Source organism: Homo sapiens, chromosome X, assembly GCF_000001405.40.
Source record: "Homo sapiens chromosome X, GRCh38.p14 Primary Assembly".
In the NCBI taxonomy this organism is placed as follows: Eukaryota; Metazoa; Chordata; class Mammalia; order Primates; family Hominidae; genus Homo; species Homo sapiens.
Window position 1 is genome coordinate 115340918 of NC_000023.11, and position 14069 is coordinate 115354986.

A 14069-nucleotide genomic window follows, 5' to 3' on the forward strand; every position below is an offset into this window, starting at 1 on the left:
TGGAATCATTTTTGAGGAAAAGGTCTCTTTGTGATGTGAAAAGGTAGATGTGTCTTGGAAAAACAAAACAAAACAAAAAAACGAAAGAGCCCACTTCAGATCTAGAGTGTGCACTGGTTTAAAAAGCTATAAACAGGGCTGGAAACAGTAAGAAAAAAAGATGCTACAGATCTCTGGAGTCACAGATTAGTAACTAAAATAGTGCCTAATACTATTGTCAACAAATACCTTAAGAAGGATGGGAGGGTGAGAAGAAGGGAGTGGTGAATAATGTGTGATTAGGGTAGAAATGGCTTAGAAAAGGAATTAGTAATGTGGCCCAGTCCAGCAAAAGTCAAAGAACTATTGCATATCCAGCACCGAGACACTTCCAACTCCCCCTTATAAAGCTGTCGCTTTCTCACAAGACCCAACTAGTCCTTTGATCTTTGTGTACTTCTCAAGTTGAGGCAGGAATCGAGTTAAAAAATAAAAAAGGATCCCTTTTTGCTTAGAGGGAATAGGACTTTGTAGGCATTATAGAGACATTAGTGGCACTTGGGAGCTCTTCCCAAAGGGACTAGGGTCAGCCCCATCCTGACTAGGGCACCTGAAGAAAACAAGGGAAACTTTAACTTTTAAAAGAGAATTTGCAGAGTCAAAAGATTTTTGATGCATCATTGTGGAAAATTTCAGGGCTTTGTTCAGTGTTTTGTTGACTTTTTTCCTAAAATCAACATTGTCGTCAGAGAAAGTAGCAAATATGGTTACTATATGTCTGTTTACATTATCTTCTGCATTCCCAGAGAGAGGATGTTCTGACTTCTGATAACTGGGCAGAAGTCTGACAAAAAATATTTAGGTGGTAGAGGTTGTTCCATTAGGAAGATGAAAAGACCTCTTAGTTCCATTATTCTGATTTTTTTTTTTTTTTTTTTTTGAGACAGGTTCTCACTCTGTCACTTGGGCTAGGGTGCAGTAGGGGGACCTCAGCTCACTGCAACCTCCACCTCCCGAGCTCAATCGATCCTCCCACTTCAGCCTCGCAAGTAGCTAGGACTACAGGTGTGTGCCACCACGACCAGTTAATTTTTGTATTTTTTTTGTAGAGACAAGGTTTCACTATGTTGCCCAGGCTGATCTCGAACTCCTGGGCTCAAGCGATCCACCAGCTTCAGTCTCGCAAAGTGCTGGGATTACAGGTGTGAGCCACTGCACCTGGTCTATTCTGACTTCATGTCATTTAATTATACCACAATATAAAATCTAGACAGTATGTTGTTTCTCTAAATGGACTTCCTGACCAAGGAGATGGGGCCTGTGCAGAAAACAGGGTGTTCAGGCTTAGATTTTGGTGCAGTTCAGATTAGGAATAGTATAAGCCATTCTGAGGCTCAATCATCCATGGGTAAGTGGACTCTCAAGGTTTTGGGCCTACAGAGCTGAGAGAGAGAACACTTTACCTTCGAGAACCAATTTCTTTGTCTTCTCTCGCCCTACGTGGACAAAGTGTGACCATCCATGAAGACTCTGTCCAGATATGCCTTGCTCTATTTTACACCATTGCCAACAGGTTTCCACCACAGCCCAGCAAGCTTTGCTTTTTTACTTTGCACCCCAGATTGGTTTTTAAAATTGACTCTTGGCCTTTTGCAGTGGCTCATGCCTGTAATCCCAGCACTTTGGGAGGTCGAAGTGGGAGGATCGCTTGAGCTCAGGAGTTCAAGACCAGCCTGGGCAACATGGCGAAACTCCATCTCTACTGAAATTTAAAAATAAATTTAAAAAATAAAATAAAATAGACTCTTGGAGAACACTTCCTGGCACAATAGTCTGTTCCATATTCTGTTGCACCCAATAATTAACTCTTAATAATTGTAGTACAATGGGCTGCTATTTATAGTGACTATTAAAATATCCTTCACTGCCTTTTGCTGTTAAAATGCCTAGAACCCACTTTATAATATTTTAACATGCTTAAACAGTAATATAAAATGGCATCTGCGTATGTTTTTCCTTCTTGAAAATTAATAAAAGAGTGGTTCGCTAATGACTGTGTCTGTACAGAGCAAGACAAGGCTTCCAAAAGGGGCTAACCATCTGTGTATCTACCTTCTCAGTTCTGGTGAAGAATTCTGAGATGACGGGATGAGGACAAGAGAGTTGAGAAGAGCCTGAGAAGGGTGAAATTAATTAGATATCAGGAAATCTCTGGAAGCTCCTTTGAAACCATGCTAGAAATCAATGATATTTGCTATGGGCCAGCCACTGCATCAAAGAGAAAAGAGAGAGTTAGTGTGGACTTTGCAGAAGCACAGCCACATGAAGGGTATTCCACGCAGGGATTTACATGTGCAATTCTGTAAATTTGGGCAAAAAGTCAAGTGACGATGCTATGGAGATAAGTGCTCCAGTGACACATTAAATCACTCTCTGAGAATCTGTTGATTCGGATCTAGTTTCTTTTCGTATTCCAGAATAAAGCTAGAGCAATGCTGTCCTCTTCAATCTCAATATATGTATTGCTTGAAAAACAAGGGAGAATATGAGACCTTTTGCATGTTCACACAGCAAGTACAAGAGAAAGGGGGCAACGTGGATTTTTTCTAAATCATGTTTCCCAGCTGAGGAACAGGCTGGAGCATGAGAGGAGTACAGAGCCATTACAACCGTTTAGATGGGCTTCTCGTTTCAACAGGGTCACACTATCTTCTCCGGAAAGCCCACTTTCCATGCCAAGCAACAGGAGAGGTTTTGAAGGCCAGGGATTTGTTTCTCTTCCTTGTTACCCTTCCCACCCAGGTTGTCACACCATACAAGAGGAATAAAGAATACACTGAGAAATACTGAATAGACCAAAAGTCTGACAAATAACCAAGCATTTTCATAAAAAGAAAGAGTTTGGTAATTGTCAATTTACTCTGGTTTTGCTTCCAGTTGGTTCCCTTTTCAGCTGATTAGCGCAAGTGACTATTGAGAGCATGGAAGCATCTCAGGGTTGAAGAGACAGGAGTCCCATTTTCCACTTCCTGCCCTCTTGGGTAACTCTGCTTCCTCCTGAGCAAAGAGTTAATGAAGACATTGTTGCTTTTTTTTTTTTTTTTTTTGCAAATAAGGAAAGGCAGACACTGAATGTTTATTATTCAGTATGAACATAGAGGCAAAACTAGGAGAAAAAACAGATATGAGGTTTCCAGAACTATGGAATTTTAGGCATATTATATTATCAGTTATCATTTATTGAGTACTTACTATGGACCAGCCACTGCATTAAGCATTTTACATAGTCTATTACATAGTTTAATTTTAAATTTTTATTTATTTACTTATTAGAGTCCCACTCTCACCCAGGCTGGAGTGCAGTGGCATGAAATAATAGCTCACTGCAACCTCAAACTCCTGGGCTCAGGTAATCCCCCTGCCTCAGTCTCCCAAGCAGCTGGGAATATAGGTGTGTGCCACCACACCTGGCTAAAGTTTATTACATAGTTTATTAGTCTTGACAACAGCCCTATGACATAGGTACAATTATTATCCCCATTTTACAGATGAAGAAACTGAGGCTTACAGAGGTTAGGTAACTTTAACCAAGCCTAAACAGCTAGTAAGTGGTGGAAGTGATTCAAATCTAAGACTGTGTTACTAAAAGAGCTGTGTTCTCAATCACTCTGCCACACGGTACAAGAGAGGTGTTAGCTAGAATGCCTTCAGGGGCATAATAATAATTATAGTTAATGCTGTTGTGGAAGGCTTATTATATGGTAGACCCTATTCTAAACACTCACCTATGTCAACTTTAGGCTCTGCATCTCACACTCTATAAAGAAGGTGCTATTATTGGGCGCATTTTACAGTAAGGAAAGTGAGGCACAGAGAGGTCTTAAGTTCACGGAACTAATGAATGGTGGAGCAGGGCTACAAATTCAGGCACTCTGACTCCAAAGATCATCCTCTTAGCTGCTAAGCTATGTTAAGGTAAAATGTTCGTTTCTGTGTGAGGAAGCCCAGTCCACTTCGAGAGTCAGCTTTCTTTGTTAGAAAGTTGTGCCTGCAGCTCTAATAGACTTCTCAGAAGCAAACAGAAGGGTTCAAGAGTCCAGCTGACAGCAGAGGCTCTTGCTCAATCCTTTCCCAGAATGCTTGTCTCCATTACCCTTTAACCTGCATCTTTGAACAAATTGATATATGGGGAGTTCAGCAATGGCAGATCTCAGCTGTGCCTTTAATGTTTGATATGTCTGCTAGCACACCATGTTTTTCATTGGATCTAAAGGAGATCTAATGAGAGATCATTTCCTAGTAACACATTGTCTGCTTTCAACATCACTAGGAAAGCACTTTGCTGCAAACAATCCCTATGTTGGTTTAATTGCCTTTGAAAAGGGGCACAAGAGGGAGCATCAACTCTTCAGAGTTTGGGTCTGATTTCCTGAGGTGTTCCATTTCAGAAGAGGCCCCTGACAACAGGCAGAGAATAAAAACAAGTGTGGTCTAGGGCAGACAGTGTTTTTCAAACAGTTGGCCAAATCTCTCCTGGCAGCCGGGAAGCAGCTGAATCATCAAACACTAGGCCTCTAACGAGATGGAGGCTGGGCTGTATTGAAGTGCATTCCAGACTGACTGTGAAACCCAGAGCTGCTGCTGCTTTCCCAATGCTGGCTCCCTTCCAAGGGGCTGGCCCAGCTGAGCTGCTTGTCAAAGCTTCATTTTGTCTCTTCTCTCTCTTTTTTTCCTCCTCTTTGTGATTTCCCATGTAGCATTTGCCTGCCCTTGGATAGAATATTTGGATGAATTTTGGGGTCACCTCAGGTACAGCCTCTGCTCTGCAAGCTAAAGTTCATGAACTGTGTTTACCTGTTGGAAAGTCAGAATGGCAGAGGGGAAAGGCACTAAGCTAGAGCACTCGGGGAATGGACAAGTGGACAGACATTCTTTTCTGAGAGGCAGGAATGACCTAGACATTCCGAAATTGAAAGCCAGATGTTGGGATAAAACTCTAGACTCAATTTGAATCGTAGGAGTGTTGACAACCTTGATGAAATCCTATGACTAAAACTTTCTAGAGTAGAGGGGAATTAATGGGGCCTAAGTAGGGTAACCCACCTTGAAAATAACCAGATCCCTCTATTTATATCAGAAACAAATGTTTGGACTCTTTAAGTGCCATGGTCTGAATGTTTGTGTCTCCCCCAAAATTCATATATTGAAACCTAATCCCCAACGTGGTGGTAATTGAAGGCAGAGCCTTTAGGTGGTAATTAGGTCATGAGGGCAGAGCCCTCATGAATGGGATTAGTGCCCTTATAAAAGAGGGCAGAGGGAGCTTGTTTGGCCCTTCAGCCATGTGAAGACGCAGCAAGAAAGTGCCATCCATGAAGCAGAGAGTGAGACCCCATCAGACACTGAGTCTGCTGATGCCTTGATCTGGGACTTCCCAGCCTTCAGAACTGTAAGCAATAATCTTCTCTTGTTTATAAATTACCCAGGGTAATGTATTTTGTTATAGCAGTCTATTAAACATGAAGAATAAACAATATTTTCTGTGCCTTTTATGATGACTACCTGTGGCATGTACCATCCGCATGCCTTTTTTTTTTTTTTTTTTTTTAATTTATTTTTTTATTGATAATTCTTGGGTGTTTCTCACAGAGGGGGATTTGGCAGGGTCATGGGACAATAGTGGAGGGAAGGTCAGCAGATAAACAAGTGAACAAAGGTCTCTGGTTTTCCTAGGCAGAGGACCCTGCGGCCTTCCGCAGTGTTTGTGTCCCTGATTACTTGAGATTAGGGATTGGTGATGACTCTTAACGAGCATGCTGCCTTCAAGCATCTGTTTAACAAAGCACATCTTGCACCGCCCTTAATCCATTTAACCCTGAGTGGACACAGCACATGTTTCAGAGAGCACAGGGTTGGGGGTAAGGTCACAGATCAACAGGATCCCAAGGCAGAGGAATTTTTCTTAGTGCAGAACAAAATGAAAAGTCTCCCATGTCTTCTACTTTCTACACAGACACGGCAACCATCCGATTGCTCAATCTTTTCCCCACCTTTCCCGCCTTTCTAATCCACAAAGCCGCCATTGTCATCCTGGCCCGTTCTCAATGAGCTGTTGGGTACACCTCCCAGACGGGGTGGTGGCCGGGCAGAGGGGCTCCTCACTTCCCAGTAGGGGCGGCCGGGCAGAGGCGCCCCTCACCTCCCGGACTGGGCGGCTGGCCGGGCAGGGGGGCTGACCCCCCCCCACCTCCCTCCCGGACGGAGCGGCTGGCCGGGCAGAGGGGCTCCTCACTTCCCAGTAGGGGCAGCCGGGCAGAGGCGCCCCTCACCTCCCGGACGGGGCGGCTGGCCAGGCAGGGGGGCTGACCCCCCCCCCCCCCACCTCCCTCCCGGACGGGGCGGCTGGCCGGGCGGGGGGCCGACCCCCCCACCTCCCTCCCGGACGGGGCGGCTGGCCGGGCAGAGGGGCTCCTCACTTCCCAGTAGGGGCGGCCGGGCAGAGGCGCCCCTCACCTCCCAGACGGGGCGGCTGGCCGGGCGGGGGGCTGACCCCCCCACCTCCCTCCCGGACGGCACGGCTGGCCAGGCGGGGGGCTGACCCCCCCACCTCCCTCCCAGACGGCACGGCTGGCCAGGCGGGGGGCTGACCCCCCCACCTCCCTCCCGGACGGGGCGGCTGGCCGGGCGGGGGGCTGACCCCCCCACCTCCCTCCCGGACGGCACGGCTGGCCAGGCAGGGGGCTGACCCCCCCACCTCCCTCCCGGATGGGGCGGCTGGCCTGGCGGGGGCTGACCCCCCCCCACCTCCCTCCCGGACGGGGTGGCTGCCGGGCGGAGACGCTCCTCACTTCCCAGATGGGGTGGCTGCTGGGCGGAGAGGCTCCTCACTTCTCAGACGGGGCAGCTGCCGGGCGGAGGGGCTCCTCACTTCTCAGACGGGGCGGTTGCCAGGCAGAGGGTCTCCTCACTTCTCAGACGGGGCGGCCGGGCAGAGACGCTCCTCACCTCCCAGACGGGGTCTCGGCCGGGCAGAGGCGCTCCTTACATCCCAGATGGGGCGGCGGGGCAGAGGCGCTCCCCACATCTCAGACGATGGGCGGCCGGGCAGAGACGCTCCTCACTTCCTAGATGTGATGGTGGCTGGGAAGAGGCGCTCCTCACTTCCTAGATGGGATGGCGGCCGGGCGGAGACGCTCCTCACTTTCCAGACTGGGCAGCCAGGCAGAGGGGCTCCTCACATCCCAGACGATGGGCGGCCAGGCAGAGACACTCCTCACTTCCCAGACGGGGTGGCGGCCGGGCAGAGGCTGCAATCTCGGCACTTTGGGAGGCCAAGGCATGCGGCTGCTCCTTGCCCTCGGGCCCCGCGGGGCCCGTCCGCTCCTCCAGCCGCTGCCTCCCGGGCGGCGCTCGCCGGCGCCGCCTAACTTTAAATGAGCACAAAAATATCTATTGTTTTCCATCTCTGCTGATATGTAGATGACTATTGTTTAATTACATTTGCCCCTAATAAGGAAGGGGAAAGATCCAATGTCTTCCTGACTGACAGTGCCATGTTGGCCATTGATCTCAACTTGGAGCTGACCTCAACCTGCTCAGATAGGTTTTTCACCTAAATAAATATTGTGGAAGAGAGAAGCCTCCTTCTTCACTGTTAATAGTAAACTGCAAAAGCATGGAGGTAGGGGGAGGGAGGCTGTGTCTTGGAAAGAACCTTGAAGTTCCACAGTACTATAATCCATTGTCTGGACTCTGATGGGAAAAAGAAAAAAACTGGATTCCCTTCCCATCAGTCTTTGCCAACAGCATTCCTTTTTCAGTTTGTTTTCCCTGACCCCACCCATACTACTACTACTAATAATAACGTGTGTTTTTATAATCTCTAAAGAAGTTTCGCATACATTTATATTTGATCTATACAACTTTGGGAGGATGAAAAGAAGAGACTTGTCCCTTTTTGCAGATGAGAAAACTGAGGTCCAGAGAAATTAATTGATTTGCCCAAAGTCACACAGGAAATTAGTTGTGGAGCCAGATCTATTAGGTCATCAGTTTCCAGGGTCGTTACTTCTTTTACACACCAAACTGTGGAGTGCTGGTTCTCAAATATTCAGTTGCATCATAATCACCTGGGAAGCATTTCACAAATGCATACTTATGGACTCTACCCTCAGAGATACCACGGGTCTAGAATAGGTATCTAGAGTCTGCATTTTTAACAACGTTCCCAAGTGCTTCTAATAAACGTGGTCTCTGGGCCATACCTCGATTGGAAGTGAATCTATAGCCTTGAACTGTTCAGGAATCTCTTTTAAATCTCTATAGATAATCTGTTTATTTTAAGGTTCACATAGGAATGGAAGAAAACAACAGGGTTATCCTTAAGAGGACTGTGAGATGAGGGGGTACAGGAGAGTGGATGTTCTTTGGGAAAGGACACTTGCTACCTCAACTCTCTCTCCAAAATCCCTTTTCCACATGAAATTTGATTCAAATGAACATAAAAGGAAACCTTAAAGATAATGATATGGTGAAAACTGGCCCCTAAGACAGCTGGCCAATAGCCAAAGAAAGGGGCTTTGCAAAGATGCCATGGGAATGGCTCTAGGTCAACAGAATATATATACTTGAACTTCAGGTCTTTTTTTAACAGACAGCTGGTCGGGACTTTTTACTGTGGAGCCCAACTGCCTGGGTTTGAATCCTCTCACTGCCAATTATTATGTGTGTAACCTTGGGCAAGTTATTTAACTTTTCCATGCCTTAGTTTCTTTAACTGTGCAATGGGGATAATATTACTACATATTTCATAGGCTTGTTGTAAACATTAAATAAAATAATGCATGTACAGCATTACATGTTCTAGGCACAGCACCTAGAACAGTGGCTGGCATCTACTGAGTAGTGTTAGTGTTATTGTTAACTACAATTTTCCTGAATCATTGCTCTGCTGCAATCAATAAAGGATGGCTTGGGCCTAGAATTGGTCATTTCAATGGTTTTCATGTCTGTGCCTCAGTAACCTGTGAAACAGGTGCTCTGAAGAGCCACAGGTGGCACTATTGTGACAGTACACTAAGTCCATTTCCCAGACTAATAGATAAATCCTGACGAGCTACGGGACTTCAAATGTTTTCTGTGGCAACATCACAGAACAGAGACATTTGACCCCCAAAGACAATACTCTTCGTGTCCTCTTAAAAATTATTCAGTAGAATTTACTAAAAATCTGGTCAGTATTGGTAGAAAGCAAAGTATACATTCAAAGCACGGTGGTGCAAAGCTGTTGTTCCTCTTTCAACCTTTCCATCTCAAGACTGTTCCATAAATGACAAAAGACGATGATAAGGGGGACACCAAGGCACCGAGTCTCCTCCAAGTGTATTAGAAAGGCCCATGGGGACACAGGCCTCAGTCAACTGCACGGTATGGCATGGTAGCTGGGTATAGAAGTTATGCCCAGGAACTGTCTTCCTAGAATTTGCTGATAGGTAATATTTTGGGATTTTGACAGGGTTTCAAAGTTGATAGATTTATGGGATTCAGATCAACTGTCTGGAGACCCTAGTGTATACGGTCAGGGAATGTATGAGAAAGAGAGAGGAGGAAGGAGGGAGGGAAGACAGAGTGAGAGAAAGAAAGAGAAAGTAACAGAGACAGAGGGCCATGATGTAAACGTATATTGGGCAGAAGTCGGGATTGGGGATGGAAAGCAAGAGAAGAGAAGTTTTGAGAGGTGATGGTGAGAAGCAGGGAGGGGTCTAGACTTGAGTCTAGAATCTCCTTGAAGCTTCTGGAGCACATCATGTCTCACAAGGAAAGCGGAGTTTCATTCCAGCCTGAGTCAGCCTGCCTACCAGCGGCCTTGTTCCCTGCTGTCTTACTGTCACTCATGCTCACAGGCACATCTGCTTCAGTGCCCCAGGCCAATTCACGGTATATTCATCTGAATATTCCCGGCTCATGTGACCGCCAGCCAGCCAGCAAGGCGTCAGAGCACCAGCAAGCAGCCTAGGTTGAAGCGCAAAGGAAACACTGACAAATATAAAATACTTATAAATGTCTGGTGCCAATTACAGCCAGTTAGCCCTTAAAAAATTCAAGAGGCTGGAAGCAGTGGTATCACCATTGGAATCCAAAAGCTTGTGTCTTTGATTATGTGCATATGTGCATCTAAAGAACACACTTGCACATAGAAGTCTTTCAGTAACTGGCAATCTTCATGAAAATGATGTAAGAAGGATAAGTCCATTCCTGGTTTTCTCTTCCAGTAGGTTCAGTTACATAGTGCAAACTGTTCACAGATCAGACCATTTATCCCCTGACGAGTGTCTGTTTGGCCAGGACCCAAGTCCTGCTAGGTTGGAAGGTGATGGCGGCTGCAGAAGCTTTGGCTACTGTGCTTTTTATGCATATGCAGCTCCCACATTTTACCATTGGAATTGGAAAGTCTCTTGCAGAGTACGTTGAACTTGGAGAGATTTTTCCATGTACTTTGCAGCCTCCAAAACATCCAAGGCTTTTCTTATAATCCCAGTTCAGTTGAACTTTGACTAGCTTTTATATAGACATAGTCCAGTTTAATCACTTAAACAGAAGAACATCATGAAACATGTTTTCATTCTGACGATTTTGCACCTAACTAGGAGACAACCACCAAATAAAAAGTCTGTCAGGACTTTTTTTTTTTTACAAGACTATGAAAACTGTTTAATTCTTAGACGAATGTAGAGTTTGAATGAACTAAAGTCAGAGTTTATAGAAGGTCAGAATAGAAGGCTAGAATTAGTGGAAATAAATGCTTTTGCCTTTTGGAGACAAACAGAATAGGACAGAACTATTTATCTAGAGCCAGGTTATTCAGAATATCCAAAGAACCAAAGGATAAAGGCATATCCTTTCAGACTTCTTTGTAAGAACAATTGAGGTAACTGGCTTTGGTGATATACACCACTGTTAGCAAAATCCTCAGCAAGTTGCATGTACCAGTATGGTTTGAAAAAGTGAATAATCTATGCCTAATGTCCAGGACTTACATTTCAGATATAATGATTGCATACATTAGGCCAGTTATGATCATATGCACCAGCCCTTGTCTATAGACTTTTAAAAAAAGTTGTTGGCCGGGTGCGGTGGCTCACACTCCTAATTCCAGCACTTTGGGAGACTGAGGCGGGTGGATCACCTGAGGTCAGGAGTTCGAGACCAGCCTGGCCAACGTGGTGAAACCTTGTCTCTATTAAAAATACAAAAATTAGCAGGGCGTGGTGGCATACAGTTGTAGTCCCAGCTACTCAGGAGGGTGAGGCAGGAGAATCGCTTGAACCCCAGAGCCAGAGGTTGCAGTGAGCCGAGATCCTGCCACTGCACTCCAGCTTTGGAGACAGAGTGAGACTCTGTCTCAAAAAAAAATTTTTTTTTTTTTGTTGAGGTTTGATCTCAGGAAAGTCTTTCCTGAATTCCCCACATTCAGGAAAGAATGTGGGTGAAACGTCCAGTGATATATTTCTAAGTAATTATCTATTTAGATTTCTGTCCATCACAATACACTGTAAGGTCTTTGAAGGCAGATACCATATTCTACTTATATTTAAAATACCACTACTAACTTGCTGTATAATACAGATTAAGTACTAAATAAATATTTGTTTAACTGTTGGTAGAAGACAGGCAGTGGGACAAATGAAAATTGAGCAGGGGTGATCTAAAGTGAACATTCAAAATATGGTCCACTTTTTAGTCTTTTTTCCATGATGTGGATGAAAATCTGCATTCCTGAATCTGAGCCCATCTCTATGACAGGACCAGGATTATATAATATGAGTAAAAAGCCTGTTTTACTAAGTATCTTTCTCCTGAACTTCGTGAGTTTATTCTGTCGTTTTGCCTGAAATCTCACGATAATGAGATCCCTTTTGTAAAGTCTGAGAATCCTTGAGGATCTTTCATGTGATTTGTCTTTCATATCATAGTATGCAATTGTTGGATCAGGTTGTTCTACTTTTAACACCTAGCTGATATTGGCACAAAACAAAAACAAAAACAACAACAAACAAAAACCAAAAAAAAAAAAAAGAGTTTTGGCCAGGCACAGTGGCTCACATCTGGAATCCCGGCGCTTTGGGAGGCCAAGGCAGATGAATCACCTGAGGTCAGGAGTTCGAGACTAGCCTGACCAACATGGTGAAACTCCATCTCTACTGAAATTACAAAAATTAGCTAGGCCTGGTGGTGGGTGCCTGTAATCCCAGCTACTTGGGAGGCTGAGGCAGAAGAATTGCTTGAACCCGGGAGACAGAGGTTGCAGTGAGCCGAGACTGCACTATTACACTCCAGCATGGACAACAAGAGCGAAACTCTGTCTCAAAAAAAAAAAAAAAAATTTTTTTTTGACTAAAGAGGTGGGAGGATGAAAGATGATGCCAAAGTAAGAGAAGAGGAGTATTTTGGAGAATGGGAAAATACCTGAGAAATTCAGTCTGGGTAGCTGACTGCAGATTCAGGTCCTGGGTTGGGTAGTGGGTGGAAGTGAAGCATGGGTACAGAAAAGGATTTGGTGAAGGTCAAAGTCAAATTGAGAGTGATCAAGTTGTGGACTAGGAGAGTTAGAAGGATTATTACAGGTCCTTAATGCCAAGAGAATATGGAAGTATGGAAAGGTTAAGTGACATTTCCAAGGTCATACGGTATTTCTTGGTAGAGCTAGAAATAAAACCAACAGAACTTTGATCCTTTTACCACAAAATTAAATTCCATTTCCGTGCTTGTTAAATAGCTACATGTTCAGCACTGTGCTACATACTACTGGGAGTGAAAGTTCCATTTATGATATTTTGCCATCATGAAGTCCTCCATTTTCCTTCCTTGTAATAAAGATTTCCTGTTGTGAAGGCCAAAATATATGAGCAATACTGCCTAATTTATGCTGGGATATTGGAATTTAAAGATAGCAAGTGAAAGTCTCTGCTTTATAGCAGATTCAAATCAATAGGCGTAACAAACATAATAAAGTCAATCATAAAGAACTAATTTCTCTCTTTAGAATCAACTTTAATATCCCCTTTCTTGATTCATTTAGGCATCAAGTCATGTAGATTCTAACTTCATAATCTCTCCCAGGCCTGGCCCTGTACTCACATCACCTTCATTCTTACCTTAGACTGCATCCTTACCACCTCTCATAGGGATTGTTGCAGCCATCTCTAAAGTGGTATTCCTATATTGATTTTTTATCATCCTTCAATCAATGCACACCTATGTCAGATTAATATTCCTAAAGCACCGCTTTGCATTCCTCCATCATAACTCTGTTCAAAATTAATTTAATGTTTATTTAATATTTAATGCATTTAATGTTCCCCATTGACCAAGGATAAAGGCCAAATTCTTATGCTGACTTCATGGTCATCTCCTTTGTCATCCTTTGTAGTCATCTGTTTATGAACATATCTTATTTCTGACACTGGATTGTACATTTGTAGGGACAGGAACTCTAGCTTCTTGTCTTTCAGTTTCCATACACTAGCACCAATTAGACACTTGGTAAATGTTTCTTACTGATGATTGCTTCCTATAATATAATATCAAAATATTTTCATTTAATATTCCATTATCAAATTCACAGAAGACATTCCTGTATTTGCTAAAGGCTTGTTAGCTATTTGATTTAATCTTTGTAACCACTAATCTTCAGAAAAAATATTTCGTATTATCTATATTGTTACACATATGCACACTTTCACATGGAGTTAAGTCAAGCTTTGGCAGAGACTGACCTAATTCCTTAATATGTATCCCAAACACCTACACTGTTATGATTTGACTTGCCTCTAAGTGCTTAAGCTTAAATCTGTCTTATCGCTACTAAATATACAACCCATTCTAGCCAAGTGTACTAATAGAGAAAAAATAACTCTTCCTTCTCTTTGTGCTTTGTGTTTGTTCTTTGTACTGGTTCCCACAATGGGTATATTCCCAATGGGTCCATAGGCAGTCAACAGGAGTTTTAGCTGAAGGCAAATGATGGATTACACACACTAAGAGAAATTCCATACTTATTTTTAATGGGCTGGGAAACAAGATGTTCTGGA

General features: G+C 44.1%; 1 long non-coding RNA gene across 1 annotated transcript in view, besides 1 other annotated feature; it reads left to right on the forward strand.

Moving 5' to 3' along the window:
• The first annotated feature begins 2590 nt into the window (after nucleotides 1–2590).
• The window catches only part of LOC107985681 (uncharacterized), a 29905-nt gene continuing 18426 nt past the window's right edge, over nucleotides 2591–14069 (forward strand). The window contains exon 1 of the long non-coding RNA XR_001755944.2: nucleotides 2591–5428. This is a non-coding gene — a long non-coding RNA (uncharacterized LOC107985681). The remainder of the gene's footprint in view (nucleotides 5429–14069) is intronic.
• Nucleotides 4150–4649: an enhancer, noted in NCBI's record as "OCT4-NANOG-H3K27ac hESC enhancer chrX:114579651-114580150 (GRCh37/hg19 assembly coordinates)". NCBI's record gives its function as "activates a minimal SCP1, AML or CMV promoter by ChIP-STARR-seq in naive H9 embryonic stem cells {active_cell/tissue: H9 hESC(naive)}" and the evidence as "EXISTENCE:reporter gene assay evidence [ECO:0000049][PMID:30033119]".